Genomic DNA, 26550 nt, shown 5'->3' with positions numbered 1-26550 from the left:
AGTTAATATTAGCTCAAGTCACATAGCATTACATAAGCACATCTGAAAAATTCAGTATCATGCATTCCAAAGCCAAATTGAATGTCTTTAAGTGTCTTCGGCTTTTGTTTTATTCCCATTAAGATAAACTATTGAGTATAGCTCATCTGAATATCAAACTATAGATGCTATCTTTTATAAATGAAGGTGATGCTACTCTGATTCTAGATTTTTTTTTCTAATTCGAGAATTTATTTATATGAAAAGCCTTCCAAAGCTGTATAAATAGATAACTTAGTAAATGCTGTCAGGGCCATCTTGAGAAATCCAGAAGCTGGGATTACCACACAGAGCCCATGGCTTATAAGTAGAGTGCTGAACTGAGGCTGATAATAGAAGATTCTTTCAATTCACTTCAATTAATTCACCTAACTTAGACGCACAAAATCCATTCTGAATAGCGTGGAAATACAAAAGTGACAAACATACAACCCTTCTCCTTGCCAGATATTTCTAATATTTTTCCTGAAGTTTACAGTCCATATATTCACCTTGGCTACGTTGGATGGCTATGTTTTTGAGGACTGGTAGTTCTTTATATTTTTCTACAATGGAGAATGTAAGCCACTGGAAGGTCAAGCATTATCTGCTAGGGAGGCAATGTTGCATAATCTTTGAAGTCAGATAAATGGGTTCTAAGTCAGACAAGTGAGTCCACTGTTTTTCTGCCTCATGCAAGTCACTTAACTCCCTAAGCCTCAATTTCCTCATCTCTAAAATGGGGATGATAATAGTTGGCATAGTGTCTGGCACAAGGGAGATATATAAGAATGTTAATATTCATATTTCTTTATATGGAGGTTCATTTAGGCTTTTGCTTGAAAGTGAAAAAAGTAGCAAATCTACTAAGAATTAAACCAAAAAAATCAAGTAGAATGGAGCTAAGTAAGAAAGATTATGCCATTTTAAAAAAAGTATTGCTATATGAGTGTAAAAGAGGTCAGCTTTAGCGAGAGATATCCAATAAATATTTTTGAATGAATGAATGAGAAAAGATGGAAGGAAGAAAGGGAGGAAAGAAGGAGACAGGGAGGAAGGAAGAAAGGGAGACTGTTGAGCACCTATGTTTTTAAAATACTTTTAATCCTGGGCTTATTTAATGATATATGATTCATAGGTGATGACACTGGCTTGCTTATTTATTTATTTATTTATTAGAAACAGGATCTCCCTCTATCACTCAGGCTGGAGTGCAGTGGCACAATCATGGCTCACTGCAGCCGTGACCTCCCAGGCTCAAACGATCCTCCCACCTCAGCCTCCTGAGTAGCTGGGACTACAGGTGTACGCCACCATGCCTGGCTAATTTTTTATTTTTTGCAGAGACTGGGTCTTGCTGTGTTGCCCAGGCTGGCTTTGAACTCCTGGCCACAAGTGATCCTCTTGCCTCAGCCTCCCGAAGTGCTGGAATTACAGGTGTGAGCTGCCTGTCACTGGCTACTGATTGGTTGACTTGCCTTCTTCCCTTGGGTATTTTTAGGAAATCCAGATGAGCAATCATACTTTTTATCAGAGTACCTTATCTTGGGTCTTATAAAAAAATACTCATAGAAATTGGGAGCACTCTGTGCTTGGGAGGCTGGTCTTCTATTAACTGACTACACAACCCCCATCTTCTGCACCAGTTCTTCCTAAATTTTGCAATTCCCTTTTGTGAACTTCTTCATACATATTAATACTAAGTGCCATTGAAAGGTATCAATAGCGTGAGGCCTGCGTTGACAGTCCTCTCAAATGTATACTTCACTGTAGAAAAAAAGCCATTTTTTATCTTAGGAAATCTCTGAATAGGCTGTACTTAGAATGGGGCCCCCATTCCCCGTCTCCAGCCTTCTTTCCACCAGTGGTTCTTTGTCTTACAAGCTTATCACCTTTTTTGACTCTAGTCATAGCTTTGTTCTGCTATTTAAAATTGGGGGAAGAAATTGAAGTGCCTTTCAGAATTTGTTTCTACTATCATATCTGCACAAGTATCATATAATTATATTGCATTTCTTTTTTCAGATTGGCAAGTTATGTGCCCATTCTCAACAACGCCAATATAGATCTGCTTATTATCCTGAAGATCTCTTTATTGACAAGAAAGTATTAAAAGTTGCTCATGTAGAACATGAAGAAACCTTATCCAGCCGAAGAAGGTGAGAGGTTTCTTTTTTCTTTATTCCACAATACAATTAACAATTGTATTTTAAGGTCAAAAACCACTAGAGTGAAACTTCTTAAATACATGTTATTTAGTTCTTCTGAGTAGAGTGCTTGATTAATTAAATTTTATCATCTGTCAATGTTTAAAAAAAGATGGTATTATATCCAAGGCATATTTAAATGTAAATTTACTGTTCATAAATATCTAGTACAGCAACATGTGTGGAAAGGACTTCCCTATTCAAGATCTTTTATTGATTAAGCAAAATTGTTTCTGCTTACAATCTGGTCTCGCGATTCCTTGGCTTGCTTTGTAGCTTTTCCCATTATTAACAGTGAGTCAGAGTTAAATTCACCAGAGAGAAGCTGGTGAGACACATTCATGTGTATACACAGACACTGCACACTTTACACACCTTTTAAAAATGATAAAATGAAGGATCTGGTTCCTGGTTCTTAAAACAACAGTCAGGGGACAAAATCCACGTTTGTTTCTTATTCTCTTCATCCATTCTCCCCTGATCCAGGTTCCCTCTATCCCCATTCTATTTTTTTGATTACAATAAAGGGGTAGAAATTGGATCAAAAGCCCAATACAATTCTAGAAGAAGTGCCCTACCTGAAAAGACTGCACATGTAGCCAGCCCTGCCACTGGCTCAAGAATAGCTAGACATGAGTTGTTCCTATTGACCTTGAGGGGGGAGTGCAGTGGCGCGATCTCAGCTCACTGTGACCTATGCCTCCCAGGTTAAAGCCATTCTCGTGAGCCACCACACGTGGCCTAGATTCATCCTCCAAGGAAAAGAAAGGATAGTAAGAAAAACTGACAAAGCCTGTAGAGTTGAGTAAATGATGGTCAGGCAGAGCTTCTTTGGTGTTAGGAGATCGAGACTGCCCAATGATGTTACTCACTTTTTTTGAAACTGAAGCATTAGAATCTGAGATGGAGCCTTTCTTTGTGAATTCTCTGGCAGAAGAAGAAAACGAAACAACAGGAGAGTATCTGATTTTATTTAACTCCCTCAAATAGGCATTGTAACCCCTTTTAGGGAGAGAGGAGAAGTGGGAATTAAGATAATCTCTTGCTAAATGCACTGCCCCCTGCAATCTGATGTTATTAAGAGGGTTTGTTTTTGCAGTGTTAGTACCTCTATAAATCTCTCAGTATGTTCTGCACAGCATTTCACACTGTCCAGAAAAATATATGTGCCTCTAGCACTCCTCATGCCCATGCCCAAGCTCCGTCCTCTGTGGTTAAAAATATGATAATTGCAAAGGAACCCTATTGTAGTATTCAGTCTGTGGAGGTTGTGAGCAAGCTGTCTGAATCTGATCATGAGTTGAAAAGCCCTTTGCCTTATTAAAATAACAACACACAATGAATTCCTTTGGTAGTATTCAGAAGTCATCTGTTTGTTTTGTCTGCCCCCAACTGGGTAGTTTGCAACACACAGCTAATCTTAGAAATAGCTTAGTTCAATTTCAAGGCGATTTGATACTCAACTGGTGGTCTATGTGTGGGACTCAGTGTTCCTTTAAGGGATAAGTATTGAAAATATCTGTCATAGATTTAAAACAGTGAGTGGAGAACAAGATGCACAACTAGTACAATCAGAATAGAAGAAATCAGATCTTCACTGCCCCTTCTAGCTTTCATATTTTTGGCACATCTCAGTTGCCAGCTTCTCCCTTCTTTGCCCTTCCGAATGTCTACTTCACTGCTTCCCTTATGATACTGTTTACCTTGCCACAATATACTGTTTGGTTGAGTACATGAACAATATTTTTCCATTGTTCAAATGCCGAATCTATGGTTGAATAGTCCATCTTGCATCTACAGATACCAAGCTTCTGGCCCAACTGCTAACTTGTGAGAAAGTCACACAGTTCCCTCCACCCTTGTGAAATTATATCTACATATTCCAGCCTTCTCCTTCCTGTGCTCCCCCTCCTCTCCTTCCCCTCTGACTTGGTCTAAAGCGGCAACGGATCAGGTGACACTAGTAAATGATCTAGAAAGAAAAGAACAAAAGCTGACCTCAGCTCCCCTAGTCCAAAATCAATGCCTACTCCCACCCACTCTGAACAAAACAACAAAGTATGTCCTGAGTGAATCAACGAGTTCTGGATCTGGTACAAGTCATTCTGCCCTAAATAGGCCTCTACTTCTTTCAACATTTGTCAACACCATCTCTATGCTTCACATTGTGTAAGGGTTAGGCTCTGAGGAATGGAGGAGCACCTAGCTTAGTTAGGGAGGGAGACATGCAAATGAATAATTTCCATACATTGGGGGGTGAGTGCCAAATCAGAGCTAGGTGCAAAAGAGTGGCAGTGTCACAGATGGGGAAGATAGCCCCTCTCCTTGGAGCATTAAGAAAGACTTCTTGGAAAAGGTAACTTTTGAGCTCAGCCTGAAGGATAAGTTCAAACAAGCTCAGCAGATTGAGGAAGGAAAGGAGGGCGTTCTGGGCAAAGGGAACACTATGAGAAAAAGTATGGGCAAGTCTTTAGAATGGTAGAAAGCTCTAGTTTGGGATTAAACTGTGAAAGGCTCTCTCCAGCAGAATTAGGCATGATCTTACATCATTCCAATTTTCGTTATTTTAGTTTAGGTACTTTTTTGCATTGCCAACTTTTAAAAATAATAAGCTCATATTACTTTACATGAAGAGAAAAAAACGAACCTTAATAATAAAGGAAAAAGTTCCAGGTCTGCAGTCAGGGATGAAAGGCTGTTTTTACTTGCAGTGATTTCCAATTAGTGCTGCTTTGATGCCTGCCCAAGCAAATCATTGCAAGAAAGCAAAGGCAATCTCCTCCCCTGCAACCAAAGAAGGGAAGGGATGATCCTCTTCAGGATGATGGAAGCCCTCCAGGGATGATCACGTGCACCCAGCTGCCATATTTGAAAATGGCTCATGCGTGCAAAGGGGCCCTATCCTTTAGTTCCACATTTAACACATTGAATGGAAACCTCTATGAAGAGACTTTTTCCTGAGCAGGCTGTCGTAAGCAAATGTTGGATTTGTCTAACTGAGAGCTGTAGGCATCAGAATTTTTGTATGTCAATGCTATGTTTGACATTTATGTATTAGAATAAAGTGGAATTACAATCAAAGAACATTCCCTTCAATCACATTGTTTTTCCCATCCCAGGCAACGAATTGTCCAAACTTTCTATCCTCTTTTTTTTCCCCTAGGAACAATTCAGTTGAGCAGACTGTCTTAGTTCATAGGTGGAGATTCTTTTGTTGTCTGTCATGGGCTACTAGCACAAAGGAAAAAAATCTGGACTGTGTCATACATGGGTAATTAACATGTCACTTAGTTTCATGTGTCTTTCTTTAAAGAGAAAAATAGAAATATTCAACTCCTCTTTTACAACTATAAGCAGAGGAATATAAACCTTTATTTAAGAAAAGATTAAAATACGCTTAATTCCTGTGCTGGAACAAGTTTAGAAAGGAATGACAGGAAGAGACAAAGAAGAGGAGAGATGAGAGAGGCCCAGTAAACTTGGTAGGAGGTAAACTACTCTTGTAACTCTGCTGCTGTAGTGTCAGAGGACATTATCACCTGTTGTTGCTGTCCTTTGAAAAACTCATTAACTCTCCAACAGTTTCTGAAGTCTTCTTCCCTACCCTCGAAAACAGTATGTCTGCACTTATTTTCAATAATCAGTTTCTTTTAGAGACCAAGATGTATTTTCTCACAGTAATTCAGAAGGTTTTCCATAAAGGAATGGTCTTCACCGTAACACTGTCCTTTGGGACTCTAAGATATTGACCAGTTTGAGAACTGTGCTGGAGATCTACTCTTTGTTCTCCCTGTCTCATCCCACAGGGCCTGGGAATTAGTTGAGAACCAGGATTTATTTAATTCTGAGGTTCTTGTAGTCAAATCTACCTTGGATTCTAAGTGGATTCTAATGGAGATAATACACACTAAGAACCAAAAAGAACTCAGAGAACAAGCCTATCAAGAAGAATAGGTTTTAAAGAAATAAATGTAAAACTTTACTCAAGAGAAAAATCTAGAACAAACTACATTGAAATATTAACAGTGATTATCTGTGTCTGGTGGGACCATGAATTTTTTTCCCTTTCTATCTTTCTTTATTTTCTAAATTCTCCATAGTGAACATATATTTCTTTTACAATGAGAAAGAAAACAAAATACTTTATTTTAGAAGATGGAGGAAGAAATATATTTGAACTGTTTACAGCTGGTGCGGCACTGAAGCTGCAGCTTTTACAAATTTCTCTTTTCTTCCCTCACCACCTATGTGTTTATTTTATTTGCATCCAGCCTGGCTGTTCCCAACTCTCCTCCCTGTCTGTTTTCATTCTTCCAAGGGGCGTCCCTCCCCATACTAGAGAACCCTCTCTTTCTCTAAGACATATTTCTCACCTCTTCTCTACCCTTTCTTTTTAGGGGCAGGGGTAACAGCTTTATTGAGATTTAATCCACATACCATACAATCTATCCATTTAAAGTGTATAATTCAATTGTTCTTAGTATATCCACAGAGTTATGCAACCATCATCACAGTAGATTTTGGAACATTTTCATCACTTCAGGAAGAAACTCTGTACCCTTTAGCTATCATTCCCCAACCAGGTGGAGATAATTGAATCATGGAGGTGGTTCCCCCATCCTGTTCTCATGATAGTAAATTAGTTCTCACAAGATCCGATGGATTCATAAGGGGCTTCCCCCTTTGCTTGGCACTCATTTTTCTCCTTCCTGCCACCATGTGAAGAAGGACACGTTTGCTTCCACTTCTGCCATAATTGTGAGTTTCCTGAGGCCTCCCCAGCCATGCAGAGCTGGCTTTTCTTTATAAATTACCCAGTCGGGTATTTCTTCATAGTGATGTGAGAACAGACTAATATATTCACATTCTTTGTGGTTTTCTTAGACTTTTATCTTGACCCTTCCAGGTAATATCTTTCTATACTAAAGTGGGAGGTCTTATGTTTATTGCAGCCCCTCATGCTCTTGACATTTAGATCGAACCTCATCTTGATCTTCTTCAAATTGTCAATAATCTTTATGATCCACCAAGAAAACTGCAAGGGTTGGGAGAAGTTCAGGGTGGTTTTTTTTTTGTTTGTTTTTTGGTTTTTTTTTTAACTTCTATGGAAATCAAAATGGAAGGCCTTGCATGGGTTCAATTTTTCTTGCCATGTGTGGTGTTAGTGAGAGGGGGTTTGGAGGTAGGGAGAGGCCTAAGGGAAACTCTTTCCTTTAAGAGAGGGCCATTGTTTCCCGTAGACTAATGGCCATATTCCATTTCCTTATGGAGTGGGGGGAATTACTTAGACTCAGCCTTTACTCTTTCAGCTTCCACTCTTGGGAACTGTATTATTACCTTGTAAAACAGAACATCTCTCCTATTAGCTGTTAATTGAACCCATCTTTTTCCTCTGTGAGGAACTATAATGTTGACTTTTATTTTCAGAGCTCTGTATTGAGCCTCTTCTTTTTGGAGATTGATGGTGCTCAGACACCAGGGGTAGGCTGTGGGGTAGGGGGTACAGGCATAACAGGAAGTGACTTGTGGGTATCAGAAGTTAAATATGTCCCAACAACCTTTCTTGAGTTGTTCTGTCCATCACCTTGGCTTTGCAGTGACCCAAGCCTTTGTGAATCTATGCTGAGAGCCCTTTCTCTCCCTCCCCCGCCTCTTAAATCATTAGTTGAAATGAAGAGTTTTATGGTAATTGTCCTAGTTTGTTTTATGTTGCTGTAACAGAATTCCTAAGACTGGATGATTTATCAAGAAAAGAGGTTTATTTATTAGGCTGGGAAGTTCAAGATTAGGCGGCCTCATCTTGTGAGGCCTTCATTTAGAAGGCCTCATACTGTGTGAAAACATGGTGGAGAAAAGGAAAGGGAACTGAGCACAAGTGAAAAGGACAAATATGAAAGGCAGTCTCACTTTATAACAACCGCTCTCCTGGTAACTAATCCAATCCCTGGAGAACCAACCCAGGCTTGCAAGGCAGACATAAGTCCATTTTCACCTCTAAAAGGCACCACCTCCCAACACTGCCACCTTGGGGACCACACCTCCACATGAGTTTTGGTAAGGACAAGCCATCTTAAACCATAGAGTAATAAAATGAAGAATCGGATTAAGTCCAAGAGGATATTTTCACCAGTCTTCCTCATTTGGCCAGATCTGAGAACAACTCCCAGAAGGCATTTCTGGGCTAAGGACTTCCACCAGTGTCCAAATGATATTCAGGCCTCTGGTTCCTATAGAGGCCTGTACATCAGGCCAGTCCATTCTTAGCCTGGAGACAATATTGAATAATTACTCCACTGCCAGAAAATTCCCTGAATAGAGTCTCCAAAAACTTAGTATAGACATAAGGTACATTTGGATGTGAAGGATGCTTTAATTTTCTACCAGTAACATTGCTTTAGAAAATAAAGTGTGTTTTATTTTTGTTTATTTACCACTGTACATCTATTACATAGATATTTTAATATTTCTTTTTAAACATATCCACTTCTCTCCAGTCTAAGGCATATTACTTTGTGTATCCATGTACATCTGAAATGAGATAACAGACCTGAAATTTTTCTGGTATATGTGTGTGTGTTTACATACAATTGCAGACATAATATATTCTCTCTCTGTGTCACTCTCTCTTTCTCTCTCTCTCTGTCTCACACACACACACACACACACACACACACACACACACACACACACTTGTCTTATTATATGTAGCACAAAAACAAAAGCAAATAAATAATAAAATATACTAGAATTGTCCCCCACCCTGCTCCCTCTCCCTCACAGGAGCCACAATATACAAATAACAAAGAAACCTTCCTCTTCTGGCAGATGTGAGTTGCTCTGACTGTATTGCCAGGAGAATTTCATAGAGCTTATACTGTTCTGAGCACCCTGCAATTCTGATCTGCAACCATTAGCCAGAGCCTATATGGAAACGGACCATCTCTAGGGTAATAGCATTGTAAATTACAATCAATGCACCCAATTACACTCAGAAACCAAAAGATATGTAGTGCTCCAGTGTACCTTGTAATCAGCACCTTTGAAAATGTAGGTAACAGCATTCTGAATAAGAAAAATGGAAGTGGAACGTCTTAGAAAATGAATGTTGGAATTAAATCATCCTTCTGATAGAAACAGCACCTTATATGGCAGTCAACTTTTTTTCTAATATCATTTTATTGATTTTTAAAAAAAAACTAAACTGTGGCCTTGTAGCCAAGAATGTCTTTAAAAGTCATTTATTGCTCTAATCAGCCTGGCAGAGCCTTTCTGTCATGCTGATAAGGAAATTAAACTTTTCTCATACTGAGTTTACTTGCCTCTTATGCACAGATGTTTTGTTTTTCTTTTAGGGAACTAATTCAGAAGTTGAAGTCTTTCATCAGCTTCTATAGTGCTTTGCCTGGCTACATCTGCAGCCATAGCCCTGTGGCGGAAAACGACACCCTTTGCTGGAATGGACAAGAACTCGTGGAGAGGTGATCTTTTTTGAAAGTTACATATAGCAATATTTGAGGAATAATTGTCATATGTTTATATAAAAGTTAATTATGTCTTCTATCTCCATTAATTGCACCAGAAAAATTCTAGAGAAATCTATGAGGCTGGATGCGGTGGCTCATGCCTGTAATCCCAGCAGTTTGGGAGGCTGAGGTGGGCAGATCACCTGAGGTCAGGAGTTCGAGACCAGCCTAACACAGTGAAACCCCAACTCTACTAAAAATACAAAAGTTAGCCAGGCATGATGGCGCAAGCCTGTAGTCCCAGCTACTGGGGAGGCTGAGGCAGAAGGATCATTTGAACCTGGGAGGTGGAGGTTGCAATGAGCTGAGATCGCATCACTGCACTCCAGCCTGGGTGACAGAGCAAGACTCTCCAAGAAAAAGAGAAAACATCTATGACATTCCAGATGATGTCTATAATTTATAGCCCTCCTAGAAGTTGCAAAGTTTGAAACACATAGAGAACTGTGTCTGAAGGCAATTTTACAGAGTTTAAAGCATAAAACAACTTTCTTTTGTCTTCGATTCTTCCATCTCCTCATTATGTGGGTCCTTATTTATTTGATTTGAAGAAATCACATTCATCTTGAAAGCTATCATTTATTGAGAGTTAATTGTATATTAAGTACCATGCTAAGTGCTTTGTATGTATTATTTATCTTTATAAAAATCCTATGAAATGAATACTGTTATTTTCCCCCATTATACAGATGAAGATAGAGAAAGGAAGAAAAGGGAGGGAAAGAGGAATACCATTTCACTGAGCAATTTTACTGAAATATTTTATGGAGCATTTGTGGGTTTTGTTTGTTTGCTTGTTTTGTTTTTTTGTTTGTTTTTTTTTTTGAGACAGAGTCTCACTTTGTCGCCCAGGCTGGAGTACAATGGTGCGATCTTGGCTCACTGCAACCTCCGCCTCCCAGGATCAAGTGATTCTCCCACCTCAGCCTCCCGAGTAGCTGTGATTACAGGCACCTGCCATCATGCCTGGCTAACTTTTGTATTTTTAGTATAGATGGGGTTTCACCATGTTGGCCAGGCTGGTCTCAAACTCCTGATCTTGGGTGATCCACCTGCCTCGGCCTCCCAAAGTGCTGAAATTACAGGTGTGAGCCACTCCACCCAGCCGAGTATTTGTTAATATAATCTATGCTATCATTATGTGTGAAGAATTTGCTCATCACTGAAAAGGAAATCATATATATTCATTATATTCATTTATTCAGCAGGTATTTACTGAGCACCTTCTAAGTGCCAAGCCTGTTGAAATGAACAAAACAGACATAATTTCCTGTCCTCGCAGAGCTTTCATTCTGGTGCGCTAGTGGTATTCCTAATCTCCATTGCTTTCCATGTGGGAGGAATAGCTTGCGATTAAAAAATTAAATCAAGAGGACAGAATGCTTAGGAAACCACAAAGAGTTGATGAACATGCTTTAGAAAATGTTTGTACAAGTAGCATGTTATAGAGGAGAATACAGAAGAGACCCAAAATCGAGTCTGAATCTTTCACTAATTAGTTGTTTAACCAAAGGCAAGTGACTTAATCTCTCTAGGCCTTGGTTTCCCCCATCTAAAAAAGGAGGTGGTTGGATTAGAGCCCCTCCAGGTCTGACAATCTGTATTTTTTTCTTATTAATTTATTCACTCATTCATACCTTCAACATTTATGTTTTGAGATATTATGTGTTAGGCACCAAGCTAGGTGCTAGGTAGGGGTGCAAGGGCGAAAAAGGCAAGTTAGCTGCTTTGAAGAGCTTACATTCTAGTGGGACCCAATACCAGGACATGGAATGCTGAATGGAATTTATTAACAGTATAATGGAGTGCAAAGAGGAAGGCTTTGGAGCCAGATGAATTTGGATTTGCCTCTCAGTTCTGCTACTAACTGTGGCCTTGGGTGAGTCACTTAACCTAAAAAGTCTTAAGGTCCTCCTCCTCTGTAAGGGAAGGGCATCTCACAGGATTGTTGTAACTGTTAGGAGAGGTCATAAATGAAAAGCCCCTAGCAAACTGGCACATGCTGGAAGCTCAATTTATATTACTTCTCTATTTTTCCCCCTTTCCCCTTCACTCCTCCTCTTTCCAACACAAAACAAAAGACATGTCAGAAAATAGCTTGTTCCTCATCTATGCTATTTTACTGACATGGGACAATGAGAATAAGGTTGCGTGCCACCCTGAATGAGGCACTGAAATTGTATGGAGATACACTTCTCTCTGGCAAATGTAAATCAGCCTGGAAGGATTAATGGCTCCATGCACTGGAGAAATAATGTATATTTGTCATCCTAAAAGCTCATCAGGTACTAAGAAGAATCATGAACATTTTTTTTTAATTTTCAGAAAAAAACAGTTGGTATTTGGCTTTATAAAAAGCTGATGCTTTAAAACTGATACAAACAATAACTATTTGAAAAAGAATATATCCACAGGTCAAATATGTGCTTCTTACATAAACTTGATGACAAACCATTCCAGTGCCTTGTCCAGTGTTATGTTACTTTAGCGAAAAATGAACAACTCCTGAATATTTGTTTTAAGCAGCTTATCTTCTAACCATGGTTTCTTATTAAAAAGGAAATTTTACTTTACAAATATATTTATTTACTGATGTGTTCATTCATTCACGTATTCATTCTAACAAATATTTGAGCACTTATCCAATATCAAGCACTAATATTTGTTTCTTCATTGTGATTGTTTGAAGCAAATATTATAACCCTGCTGGATTTATCTTCTATTGTTTATGGTGAAAAATCAGATCGATCCAGTTTTAGTTAATTGTAAAATAATTTATTCCTAGGCCTATGTATTTTGAATTAGTGGAATTTTTATTGAATTTTGCTCATACTGACTACTTCATGTTTGGTACACTTTGGTGAAGAATGATGCCCTGGAACCAAGAAATTTCTCTTCTATCAAATGGTGGATTCCGAAGCCTGCTAAATTTGAATGAGTCCAAAAGTTAGCCAAATGTACTTTTATATCATTAAAAGAACTATGGTAACTGAAATATTTTTGTTTCATTTGCTAGCTTTAAGCCTTAGGGTATTGAACAAAATAATAAAATAAATATTGTAGTATGGAGAAAAGCTAATATTCCAAACTCCTATTTATATTTCTGATTTCTGAAAAATCTTTATTTTCAAAACGACTTTTATTGTTAATATATACTATCCAGGAAAGAAAGAAAGGAAAGAAGGGAGGTAAGAAGGAAGGAAGGATGAAGGCAAGGAAGGGAGGAAGAAAATAAACATATTTTCAGAGAGAATAAGGGTAGTGTAATCCAGGAAGTGACTCCTTCTTGGTTAGTAACCTCAGGTTATAATTAACTTGTACTTGTATTACTGACCTAATGCAATGATCAAACTAGGGAATAATGTCAAACTAAATTTTTTTAAAAATTACTCAGGAATATACCTTTAATAATATGAAGTTCTTTAGCCTGAAGACATGTATGGCTTCTATTTGTACCATTTATAAAGATTAGCTTTGCACTCGTGTCTCATCTATAGTGAAAACCTCTTTCTAGAGCTTTTCAATAAATTTCTCATTTAATTTAGTCTTAAGTAACAGTTACCACTTCCTATTGTCCAGTGGGTTGTAACTTTGTTATCTTTCTAGGTCAAGTTTGTGTGCCTGTGAAAAATTTTACTTTTAGTCAAGAAAAATTATGAAAATCAAGGATCCTGATAGGGAATGAGACTTGTCAGTGGAGACACTTGATCAAAAGGAAAATATTGATGTTGAGGGAAATACTGAGCAATATTCATGTCAGTTGGGTTATTAGAGCTGTTTGTAGCCTACTATGGATGTATCGATCACTCAACTTTTAAAGAGTTAATTCCTTATCTCTCTGAATAAGGTCATATTTTCCATCCTTTCCTTTTTTATCTCTTATGAATGCAATCAATTGAAATATGAATGAAGAGAATGTTTTCACCGATCCAGTCTTAGAGAGTACCACATAAGCCTATCATTCTTCCTTCTCAGCTTCCCACCACCACCCTATCTGGGCTTGAGATAAACATTGGTTTGTCTACCAGGACTTAGCTGAGAAACCTTCAAATTAGCAAACTGGGCCCATGTGAGATATCCTCTTTTATGTGAGCCACTAGCATATCCTACAGGCAAAGATTTCCTAAAATTGCCAAAGGCAGAAAGATCCTCCAGCTTCTGCCTTTGTCAAACTACAGAGAATTTCAATTAGAGAGTCCTTGAGACCAAGAGAAAGATAAAGGAACCCAGATTGCTGAGTTAACACTGGGCTTCACAATAAGTAAATGTCTTTGCCCTGATAACACCCAAATGAACAGTGAACATTTTTGTAAATCATTCTCAAACACCCTTTTTGCTAGGCCAAATATCTGGATAATTGACTGAATTTTCATTCATTTTCTGGATAGTTTGATACTTTATAAATTAGTATAACAGAGCAACTATAAATTAGTTTTAGTTTCTATAAATTAGTTTAGAATCTATAAATTAGTAAACAGAGTTTGACACTTGTTTAAATTAGTATAACACAGGAACTGTTTAAACTATATATGTTCAAAAACCCCTAGTTTGTGAGAAAAAAAATAAACGTATTTTGTCTTTACATTTAATATCTGATAGGCCAGGCGTGGTGGCTCACGCCTGTAATCCCAGCACTCTGGGAGGCCGAGGCAGGCAGATCACAAGTTCAGGAGTTCGAGACCAGCCTGGCCAATATAGTGAAACCCCATCTCTACTAAAAATATTTTTTAAAAAAATTATCCGGGTGTCGTGGCAGGTACCCGTAGTCCCAGCTACTTGGGAGGCTGAGGTAGGAGAATCACTTTCCAGGAGGTGGAGGTTGCAGTGAGCTGAGAACCCAGGAGGCAGAGGTTGCAGTGAGCTGAGATCATGCCACTGCACTCCAGCCTGGGCGACAGAGTAAGATTCCATCTCAAAAAAAAAAAAAAAAAAAAAAAAAACTCTGATAATTCAGGCTCATTCCACACAGATTGAGCACTTAATATATAATAGGGCATACCTTGATAAGTAGAATCCAGCTCCTGCGCCTGCTAAGGAGTTCACAACCTAGAGAAGGATGAGGAAAGAAAATCAAGCCATCTCTGCCGGGCACGGTGGCTCACGCCTGTAATCCCAGCACTTTGGGAGGCCGAGGCAGGCGGATCACGAGGTCAGGAGATCGAGACCATCCTGGCTAACACGGTGAAACCTCGTCTCTACTAAAAATACAAAAAAAAAAAAAAAAAAAAAAATTAGCCGGCCATGGTGGCAGGTGCCCGTAATCCCAGCTACTTGGGAGGCTGAGGTAGGAGAATGGCGTGAACCCAGGAGGCAGAGCTTGCAGTGAGCCGAGATCGCACCACTGCACTCCAGCCTGGGTGACAAAGCGAGAGTCCATCCGTCTCCAAAACAAACAAACAAACAAACAAAAAAAGAAAATCAACCCCATCTCTTCCCCAGCAGTCCAGGGAGAGCTCCTCTTAGAGGTATCACAACAGAGGCCCCATCCATGTGTATTGTGTGTGTGTGTGCAGGCGCAAGTGTGTGTGTGTGTGTGTGTGTGTGTGTGTGTGTGTTGAGGTAAAATTTGCATGACAAAATTACCATTTTAGGGTATACGATTCAGTGGCATTTAGTCCATTCACAATGTTGTACAACCACCATCTCTCTCTAGTTCCAAGACATTTCATCACTCCAAAAGGAAACCTTGTTGTACATTAATGGGCACTCCCCATTTCCCCTTTCCTCCAGCCCCTGGCAAGCAACAATCTGCTTTCTGTCACAACAGATTTACTTATTCTAAGGGTTTCATATAAATGGAATCATTCACTTAGCATTATGTTCTTAAGGTTTATCCAAGTTGTAGCACATATCAGTACTTTATCATTTTATGGCCAAATAATATTTCATTGTAGGTATATAACATATTTTGTTTATCCATTCATCAGTTTTTATTCATTTTTATATAAACTCTGAGCAACTACTTCTCTGTCAGATCTCTCTCACTACCTCTGCATTCAGCTTAGCTCACCCTTATCCTTGAAGACAGGTCAGCCAAACCTATAGGCCTCCCATCCCCATCATCCTTGAGCACCATCTAAATGCTAGCCTATCACCAGACCTCATCTCTGTAATCCTTTGCAATGATTCTCCCCTGAGTCTTTGTCTCAGCCTTCTGTTTGTAGTCAGCTGGCCTCTCCTACAATTAGCACACCTCCCATAGGGGTTTATATTTCCCTAGTGACTTTGAGGCTTATCAACTCTGCATAGACAACTGCTTTACTTTGTGGCACGATGCCTTAGTTCCCTTTGTGATTCAGCTGGAGCTGCTAATGCTACCCCTTTATCATGTTGCTGGGCCAGATGGGCCTAGCTCCAGATGTCAGCTCCAGGATATTGCTGTTTTCTGGCTGACAGTTTCTACATAGCCACTTCTGTTCATTATGAATTGGAGCTGGGCGTGGTGACACGTGCTTGTTGTCCCAGCTACTCAGAAGGCTAAGGCAGGAGGACTATTTGAGCCCAGGAGTTTCAGTCCTGCCTGGGCACACAGCAAGACCCCATCTCTTAAAAAAAAAAAAAAAAAACTATGTTATGAATGCATGTTCATCTTTAATTCTCTCATGATGACTCTGAGACTGTCACATGGGGCAGCTGGCCTTACTAAATAAACTCCCTAAGATCTGCAGGGGAAAATTGTGGTGAATCTGCCTCCTCTTTATCTTATGCAATCTTACCTCTCATTTCACCTGAGAAATTTTATATATATATATATACACACACACACACACTTTGAATTCTCTTATTTCCATTAACCAGACAAGTCTTCCAATGTTTCTAATGCCTCTTCAGGATTTCTCTGCTTAATTGAGAAGGCAGAAGTGGGAATATGCAAAGCAATTATGTTAATTCTCAGAGTTTTGTCCGTTGTCTCAAAACCTTCTGGATGTTTCAGAAAAGTACAGTAAGGAAACATTTTTCTCTCTCTTCTGCTGGGTTGGAAGGATAGACTGTGGCATGTCAGCAAGTTGAAGTGAATATGAGAGAACCATGAACACCCAATTCATGAGATGTGTAAAATCATACAAACAATTAAATGACCGAAATAGCTTCTTTTTTCCCCTATGATCTAGGAAAGGCAAGGGAGAATAGTTGATTCTGCTTTTATAATGCAATTATTTTAAGAACACGGTATATTTTGAGAAATTTGGTTGGGGGCACAGTTCTTTCTTTTCTTTAGTTTTTATTTCTATAGCTTTTGGAGTACAAGTGGGTTTTTGTTACATGGATCAATTATATAGTGGTGAATTCTGAGATTTTAGTGCATCTATCACCCAAGTAGTGTATGTTGTACCTAAAAATTTCTAACACGAAAAAGTCTTTCACTGGTTTACATGGAAACAAGGAAAGACCTTCAGAATCTTCAATCTAGTAGTAAAGAGATTAAGTAAAAAAAAAAAAAGACCTATATGCCAAAGTGCATATATACTCACACATACATATAAAACATGCACATCTCATTCTAGTCATGTCAGAACAGGCCAGTGGTACGCAGCAGTTGCTATACATCGCTTCCATGCTCTCGTGCTAAAATAAGTTATTATTTGTTGTTGTTGTTGTTGTTTTTTAATTTATAGGGTGGCTTTTCTCCAAAGTGCCCAAGGCAGTATGCATACAATTTTAAATATAGAATAGCCAATGCAAACATCAATGGGGAAATAAATAAATAAAATACAGAGCCAAGAGGAAGAGGGTACAGAAAAACATAAACAATGGACAATGGAAATAATATTCAGTAGCATTGAGTCAGGTCCGAAAGTCCATTGATTCAGGCATAAGTCAGACTAAAGTCATGCTGAAGGTGAGACTCAGTAGCTCTTCTCAGCCACTGTTGTGGTGATTTGAGGGTTAGAAACTGAGGTATAGTCTTCAACTTCCCAGCTCTCTCTTCTCATAGCTAGTTCTTCCTTTGCCCCTATATTGGAGGAGGCTCTGCTTATGAAAGGCTGGTGGGAGGGACAGAGGGACAAATAGGGCTTTGGTATTTGATTTATCACTATCTATCTCCACAGTTCCTGGTCCCCCTAAGACATTTTTGGATTTCATTTCTACTTTAGTTTTCCCAGGAGCAGAAACATGACACTTCATTTTTTCCGATTTGGGGAACTGCTATGTTAGCCTGAGTGTGTGCCCAAGAATGAACATACTGAAGTATAATGATGCTTTGCTAGTATGGCAGTTTACATATTCTACCTTGCCTTAGATAAGTCAAGATTGCTCTTGGAAAGCCTTTGAAGGAGAAATGGATTATGCAGAAAGTGACTTAATTTGGTATAGCATGAAATATTTATGGCAGCTAAGAATTTTTTTAAATCCTGGTAAGGCAGAACAGATCAGTTTGGAGAGTACCCCCATGTAATAATCTCTCTATGGACTTAGATTGGCATATTTTTCAGCAGCGATTTATCTTAGATGTAGTCTTTAATGACAGATATTTATCAGGACATACTCTCGTGGCAATACAGTAACATTTATCCCTTAAGATTATGGTGTCATATACAGTAGCTTTACCTTCAGAATTGAGTGAGAAAAACACAGCTTATGCTGCTGACGGATGGCTTAATACAGTGTGCTCCATTCAGGATGTGTTAGACTTGGTTGACTGTCATGTCTTAAGTAGCAGGAAGAGACATTTTCATGGCTCAACATTGATATGTCTATAGACAACCTGTTGAATACTGGATAGCTTATTACTTTAAGCAGATTGTGTCCTATTAGTATACAATTCTAGCCTCTGTTGAGCTCAGTTGGATCATTTTGTGATACAAAGAGCATTTGGGGGCCTCCAAAGCAGGTCCCAGCATATCCACACCCTCAACAAATAAACATCACCTCCTAATTTCCTCTTGGAAATGTGATTCTGATGGTTGGATAAGGCCTGTCTCCTTTTACTATCACTGCTCCATGAATCAGAAATCTTCTATTTTAGCCTGGAAGGCTTAGGAGATGGAACCAGGAAGAAACATATCTGCTTTTAAGAAATGGGTAAATTAACATACTAGAGCTTCTCTGCCCCTTAACTATTATTGCCTCCTTCAAAGGTAGTGCCTTGGTAAGTGACAGATGGACTCCACTGATGCTGCCAGTCTTCCAAATAATTTTTCTACCTCCTTTTTGGAAAAAGCCTTGTGGGTTTATGGCTGATCCCTGCCGTCTACAAGTTGTTGATTCTCAACCAGTTGATTATCGGTGGTGCAGGCTGAGGTCTTCAGTGAGAAGACCCTGAAACGTTAGGAAACATACACTAGGTGATTAATACATACTGGGAAGAGTGCAGTCTTTAGAATGATCCAGATGGATTTTTTTTTTTTTTTTTTTGAGTCAGAGTCTAGCTCTGTCACCCAGGCTGGAGTGCAGTGGCACAATTTTGACTCACCACAACCTCAGCCTCCCGGATTCAAGCGATTCTCCTGCCTCAGCCTCCCAAGTAGCTGGGATTATAGGCACGTGCCACCATGCCTGGCCAATTTTTGTATTTTTAGTAGAGACAGGGTTTCACCATGTTGGTCAGGCTGGTCTCGAACTCCTGACCTCAAGTGATCTGCCCTCCTTGGCTTCCTAAAGTGCTGGGATTACAGGCGTGAGCCACCGCGCCCGGCCCCAGATGGATATTTTAATCCTAGTTCAGACACCAGCTGTGTGCTTTGGGCAGGACATTTAATATGACATTCTGTTACCTTATTTATAAGATGGGAGTAATGATACCTACTCTGCAGGGCTGTTGTGAAGATAAGTTCTGGCACATAGGCACTTAAATAATTGATAGCTGGTGTTGATGTTGTCATTACTATTATACCATGGTTGAGCAGCCCATGTAAATGTCCAGAGTAAAGGTGAAGAGGTGTGGGCCATGTTTCTTCCCATAAAGGTAAACTGGATTTTTTTTGGGAAATAATGTGAGTCTTTGGGAACGAAACTGCTAAATGAGGTGGCTGATCAAGCAGGCTCATACCATTTGGGGTTCATTTGGAGTGAGAGGATAAAATAATAGGGCTGTTTCCTTCTTCTAACATTTATATTGGCTTTAAATGGGGTTTCCAAAGAGGAGTTCCAGGAATTTTTCTGTAGAGACTGGGTCTCGCTGTGTTGCTCAGGCTGGTCTGGAACTCCTGGGTTTAAGCGATCCTCCTGCCTCAGGCTCCTAGGTAGCCGAGATTATGGGCATGTACCACCACGCCCAGCAAGAAGTGTTTTGAGTGATGTCAGCATAATTGTTGCAACAACGTTTGGGCTGCATACATTCTGGTAGATTTATACAAGTTTGAAATCTGTCATGACTTTATATTCACCCCTCAGAGAGCATGTAAGTTGAATACTGATTGAAACAAGGCTGCTGAGTGTGATAGGTGTCCTGACGTTTCCCTGGTAAATTTCTTTTAGTGTTATCAGTGTCACTTCATCAGAACACCTCTGACCTCTACAAACAGTAACACCCGCCTGAAACATTTTTGTCCAATTTCTCTGACTCAGGAAGTTTCTTTCTGATAGTCAATCACTGAGCATCAGTGAAAGTGGACTCTTGGGACTTGGAGTGTGAAGCACAGGGAAAGGTATGTTAGGGAAGCCTCTTTCTTGGGAGCTTCCTGCTAGCGGCCCTGCTCTTAGAACACCTCTGGCAGTTGTCATTGTTGTGGCTGTGATCGTTGGATTGTGGTGGTGGTTTTTCTGTTCCACAGGCCACAGGAAATGGCTGGCAGGTGCCACTTTCTTTGCTGCTACTGGCACAGTTCTTTCCCTAGGGTACAAGCTCTTGGTGACTTCTTTGAAAGAAATTTAGCTCTCCTATTTTTTTGCTCTTTCTTCCTATACTTCAGCAAGTACAAAATCTTGTTTGAGTTTCTCCGATGATTTTTTACTGATAGAAATGTAGCCAAACAGTTGAGGGATTAACAAAAAGCACACAGAGTTATGTGGCAACCTAAGGCAGTGTAGTAGAGTGTTTAAACTTACAACCTTAGAGTCAGCAAAGCCTGGGTTTGAATGCCTTTTCCATTACCTATTAGCTCCTTTTCTTCTCTGATCCTCAGCTTCCCCACACGTAAAATGGAGTTAATAGTTTCTCCCTTAACAGATTGTTGAAAAGATTCCAGGAGATTGCGAAGTGCAGAGTATAGTGCCTGGAACACAGTTAGTCTCTCAAAAATGGTAGCTATTATTGCTGTTCTTCAAAAAAACCTATAAAAAAGCCCTTGAAGATCTTTACTGGGAGATAGATGGAGTTAGGCCTGATATTGGCTCCCTTCAATAACCCATTCTTAACTTTTCAGGAACACCTACCCCCCTCTCATTTTTATGTTATTTCCTCTTTTTTCTGCAAAAACATCAAAATCCCAATCCTTGGTCATGGTTGGTTCAAATGGTGGGCATTTGAGTCCACTGGGGATCAAGTGAGAGTTATTTGCATCTAAGGGTGTGCGCTAGGCTGGCCTTCTTACCTTCAGCATCTTGTTTCACAGCAAAGACATCTTAAACCATTTCTCCTATGACTGCTTTATAGAGATTAACTCGGGCAATCTTCCTAAATTACATTAAAAACCATGATGAGTCTAGTTGCAGGTCAAAAATAGTTGTTCAGTGCTCTAAAGTCCTTTCTGTCACCCTTGAGTTAGCCTTTGTAGAAAAGGAGAAAGATCATTAAAATCAGTCATGATTTCCCAATTTCTCAAGCCAATGAATTTTATTCTTTTACGTGAGTATGGCTTTGATCCATGGGTTTGTCTCATTTAGAATGTAGTTTCATTTCCCTGGAAAAGAAATTTGTTTTAATTTGTAACTCCAGTGTCACAGGAGCTTCCTATTTTTTGCCCGCTGAGATCTTAGTGATCCACATGGTCAGATGGATCTTAAAAACTACCCAAATGAACTTTTTCTTGGTTTGAGCCACTTGTTGGCCCATTTTGTCATTGTTCTCTTTGCTTCTAATCACAGCTTCGGGCCTAGAGCTGGGATGAGTACTTGTTCAGCAGGAGCCAGAGTAAGGTGTTCCCACCTGGGGTAGGGATACAGCAGTTGGGGTTGGAGGGATGCATAGAGGATTGCACTATGTAAGAACTCATGCTGAAAAGCTAATTTCCAAATACTATTAGGGAGCACTAAGACAAGGACCATCTTAGAATGGGCTAGAAAAAGAGCCATTGGCTAGCTTACCCCTACTTATCCTTAACATTATCTCTTCTGAGGACCCTGGATCCTCCTGTCCACACCTTTGTCTGGGTTAAGGCTTGCTGGCACCTTATCTTCTCTCTAGCATGTCCCCAGCGACACTATATTGAGAGCTTTTACATGTCTGTCTGTAATCTTCTAGTAGCTCCTTCGTGACTGGTACTGTGGGCCGGGCACAGTGGCTCATGCCTGTAATCCCAGCACTTTGGGAGGCCAAGGTGGGTGGATTGCCTGAGCTCAGGAATTGGAGACCAGTCTGGGCAACATGTCGAAACCCCGTCTCTACCAAAAATACAAAAAATTAGCCGGGCGTGGTGGCATGTGCCTCTAGTTTCAATTATCCGAGAGGGTGAGGCGGGAAGATTGCTTGAACCCGAGAGGTCGAGGCTGCAGTGAGCTATGATCGCACCACTGCACTCTAACCTGGGTGACATAGTGATCCCCTGTCTCAAAAAATAAAATAAAATAAAATAAAAAATAAATAGTAGTACTGTGTCTTCCATCTATAGAACCTCATTGCTTAGCTGTGCCTGCCATAGAGTAAACTCTCTATACATGTTTATTGAATTCGTAGGATGAACCAACAAACATAGTTGTGGGTAACAGACCTTAGTACTAGGCCTAGCTTCCCATGGTATCACTGTACCATTAAGCAGATTACTTAAACTCTATTTTGTTTTCTCCTTTTGTGAAATTAATACCTCCCCTGCCTACCTCAAAGGGTTGCTGTGAGCCTCCAATAAGAAAACGCATATGAGATGTTTTTGAAAATTATAAATTACCCTCCATTTACTAGATGTTAGTGTAGAAGAGTAGATCAGATGTAAGGGGAAGTTTTACCCTGAATAAATGGAACATTGGGTAATCAACACAGCATTACTGGGCTCTCTTTACAAACATGGATCCTTTAGTAGCTTCCTGAGTATCTCTCTCTGTACATCTCTCAAGGACTTGAGGAATGTCACTTAAAAAAAATTTTAAGCAAATCCACCTATCCCCATGAATTTTATTTTTAAACAAGTCAGCCCGTGGTGCTGAATTAAACCAGTTGGCCCTCGATAAGGAAATACTTTGAGAGATTGGTAGCATCAGTTTAAATTAATGAAAAGTCTGAGTGACAGATCATTTTAAAGTAAATGCAGTTTTATTACTTTCAAACACATATAATAACAATGCTGGGAATTGAATTTGGAGAAAGACAGCCTGTGTCAGAGAATCGAAGCATACAAATAAGAATCATTGATAATGAGGCTATTGCTGTGTGGCTATCCTGCTAAAGACCATCCTCCTCAAATTGGCTAATGTTCCCCTGGAGAAGCTTATCTATTTAAGAAACCCCTATTTTTTTCATTTATAGGCATGAAGAAAGTACCATTACAAATTCCTATACATGGCTTCTGGATAACCCAGCTTTTTCAAACCCCAGTGGATAGCATCTAGCAGCAGTGCCCTGCTCTCTGGTTATAACAAATAGTAATCTCGAACAGCAAATACCCTCTGGCCCCTACAGTGATCAACTTTTTCCAGGTTGCCTAGGACTTTCCAGGTTTAGCACAGAAGGTCCCAAGTCCTAGGAAACCCCTCAGTCCCAGCAAACTGGAGTGGTTGGTTACCTATTGGTACCTATGACTCTTACAGCTACTAAATATAGGGAAAAGATGCAGTCGTGGGGGTTTACATTGAAGGGGTGGAGGAGAGCTGGGAGAGCTGCAGCTCACCCATTCTGTTGGTTTCTCTGCCTTCACTTTTTAACTCCTCTTACCTTTTCCTCCCTGATGCATTTTGATCATTGCCCTCTTCCCTTTGCTCTCTCAAATTCTAAGGGTACAGTGGGACTTCAGAAAGCAGGACTGAGACAGTAAAGTGGCTAATAATAGTAATAACTAACCATTCTATGGAGCTTCCCAAGTGCCACACAATATGCTAGGCAGTTTGTATGCATTGACTAATTCTCAACAACAGCCTTTTGAAGCAGACAGTATTATTACCTACATTTTACTGATTCTACTGATGACATTGAGTAAATTACCAAAGGCCACAGCAAGATGGGCTTCAAACCCATCCAATCCATCCCTTACCCACAGTACTGTCCTGCCTGTCAAATGCCTGACTTCTCTCCTGCAAGGTTTAAAGCCTTCTCACCTTCTTCCTATTCTTGGTGGAAATCCTGACGTCAGCTTGCTTTAATCTGTCATCCAGCAGACCTGGAATGAGTGTTCTGTGCAGCTTTTCTCTGGTCTGTACTGCTATACCCTGTCCTTTCCTTGTTCCCTGCCCAGTCTTGCTCCTTGAGAGTAGAAGTACATTTCCTGCCTCTCATACCATGCTTCTCTGCTCTCATGTCCTCTCAAGTCTATAAGGCGCCATCCCCTGGAAGAAGGAGTTCTTAGAGATATTTCAGCCCCTTGCTAGAAAATGGCACTCACCTGCCTCTGAGGCTAGCTCTCCATTTAATCTCCTCTACTCACATGCCTCTGATAATAAAGCCATTGCCTGTGCATCCCCTGTGGCGCTTTGGAGTCCATGCAAACAAACAAACAAAAAACCTTTGCCCTAGGCTGAGACTCCAGCCTGAGTCCTAGCTCTACTGTGAACTTGTTGCATGACCTTGGACAAGTCACTGCACTTCTGTTTTTTCTTTTACTTATAAAATAAAGGAATTTGACAAAATCACCTCTAAAGCACTTTCCACCTATAACAGGCTATGAGATCCTATAACAAAGATATTTGATGGGGGAGGGAATATGAAAGGAAAGGGAACACCATAAAGCTACCTTAATGACTTTGAATTTGATGCCTTCCCAAGTAGACCAAAGTGAAAGTGATTCGAAAGGAACCCCAGGGTATAATCATTCTCCTGACGACAGCAGTGAGCTCTTCATTTTACTCCTCCAGGTATTATTGGAGCTACAGGGGAGCAGGTAGGTTGGCTGTTTGAGATGTCAGAGTTGTTCTCGATTTCTAATGTTGGAGAGTTTGGGGTACAACTCACATAATTAAACCTTAAAGAAAATGTTTCCCCCATAGCACTGCATAACTCCAATGGGGCTTCTGAGCAGGAAAAAGAAAATGGAATTCAATGTCTGTTGCTCCCAATAATATTTGACACAACTGTCCAGAATGAAAATTAGAAGCCCTCTAACCACAGAGATATATAAGTGACAGGAGAGAGACATTGGGGGAGTGCCAAGGGCTGAAGGGCAGGTTAAGAGCAAAGGAATACAAAGTGGCTAAGAAAACCAGAGGGAGAGAGACAATTTCCACCCTTTCCAAGACCCTCCAGGCTAGAGGGCTTGGGTAAATTTTGACCTAGTTGTCCTTGTGTGCATGGCTGTGAGCTTTTATTAAGTATTTATGCAGCAGTTTATATTTTACCAAGTGCTTTACAATCACTTTTATTTGGCTTAGTAAAGTTTTCCTGGAATCCCATCTACTTTATGATCAGAAGAGTCATTTCTTGTTTGCTTAGCACCTCCATGTGTACAGCCTCACACAATAGGCCACTTGTTCCAGCAGGAGAGCAGGTGCAAAGAGTTGAGCAGTGGAGGGCACCTGCAGCTACCAGGGCAGTTGGAGTGGGTGTAGTTTACACTTCAGCTCACCTTTTCTCCCCCTTTGTTATTCTTTCATGTTATGTTATTGCTGGCAACTTGAGAGTGGCAGGGTAAGGCTTGGGCCTGTCGAGTGCAGAGCTGTCCTGCATATGGACACTGGCAAAGGTAGGCTCTTTCCCCTGTGCCAGTGTCTCTGCCCATGCCCACCATGGCCATGCACTTCCACCAGGCAAAGACTTGCTGAGTGTGTTTCTTTCTGCTGCTTCAGGGTTCTTGCTGCAGCCTTGGTCCTAGATCTCTGGACATGAGTTTAGGAAGACTATAGAAAGAGCAGTTCTACTCTCTGCAGACAAGACCAGCCAGTGTTCTTGGACAAATCTAACACTTAGCTACCTTATTCTTGGTAGTCCCTTCTCCCTTCCAGCAACCACGGCAGCCCCCCTGCACCAGCACTCTGGATTTTGTGATGTAGGATGGTGTGGCTGTATAGATGGCTCATGAAGCAATATGGCTACACACTCTCAATCACCGGTTTGCAGTGGGAATCCAACACAGTCATCAGTTGGATGTTTCCTTTTCTGAAGACCAGATTTGCCAAGGCAGAAACTAAATGCTGGTTCGTGAAGTCCAGACCGGAATTAGTAGGCCAGAACATTGGAAAATTCAGGACCTCCAACAACTAAAGTTCTGTGGCTGAGAACAGGGCTATGTAGATGCTTAATAGGTAAGTGTAGAATAGATGATGACACTCAGTGGAGCATAGAAAAGGAACTCTGCTGTTCTCTAGGTTGCCACTGGTTTCTAAAATGGTGTGATCTGGCAGGTGGGACACATTGACAGGTTTACCTCGAAGGGCCCAGTGTAACATAGGTCCTCAGTCAGTGGCTGCAGATTTGGGGGAAAGGCCCCAGGGGCAACAGGTTGACAAGGGTTAGGCAGAGTAGCTTAGAGTCTCCATCACACAAACTGAGCATTGGATGGGGCCTTTTATCTCAGGTCAGTTCAGTAGACATTTATTGAGTGGGTACTGGGTGCCAGGTACTGGGT

General features: G+C 40.3%; 1 protein-coding gene across 5 annotated transcripts in view, besides 1 other annotated feature; it reads left to right on the top strand.

Moving 5' to 3' along the window:
* GPC3 (glypican 3) overlaps nucleotides 1-26550 on the top strand; it is a 449850-nt gene that overhangs the window by 283523 nt on the left and 139777 nt on the right. For 4 of the 5 annotated variants that reach the window (NM_001164619.2, NM_001164618.2, NM_004484.4 and 1 more), the window contains 2 exons: nucleotides 2044-2177; nucleotides 9578-9703. In NM_001164619.2, the coding sequence (NP_001158091.1) occupies nucleotides 2044-2177; nucleotides 9578-9703 (260 nt within the window). Of the gene's footprint in view, nucleotides 1-2043; nucleotides 2178-9577; nucleotides 9704-16106; nucleotides 16109-26550 lie in introns of all 5 variants that reach the window. The other variant, XM_017029413.3, reaches the window with a different exon arrangement.
* Nucleotides 15640-16297: an enhancer, noted in NCBI's record as "OCT4-NANOG hESC enhancer chrX:132819803-132820460 (GRCh37/hg19 assembly coordinates)". NCBI's record gives its function as "activates a minimal SCP1, AML or CMV promoter by ChIP-STARR-seq in primed H9 embryonic stem cells {active_cell/tissue: H9 hESC(primed)}" and the evidence as "EXISTENCE:reporter gene assay evidence [ECO:0000049][PMID:30033119]".

This window comes from Homo sapiens, chromosome X, assembly GCF_000001405.40.
Source record: "Homo sapiens chromosome X, GRCh38.p14 Primary Assembly".
NCBI classification, from domain to species: Eukaryota; Metazoa; Chordata; class Mammalia; order Primates; family Hominidae; genus Homo; species Homo sapiens.
This window is presented reverse-complemented; position numbering and strand designations above follow the sequence as displayed.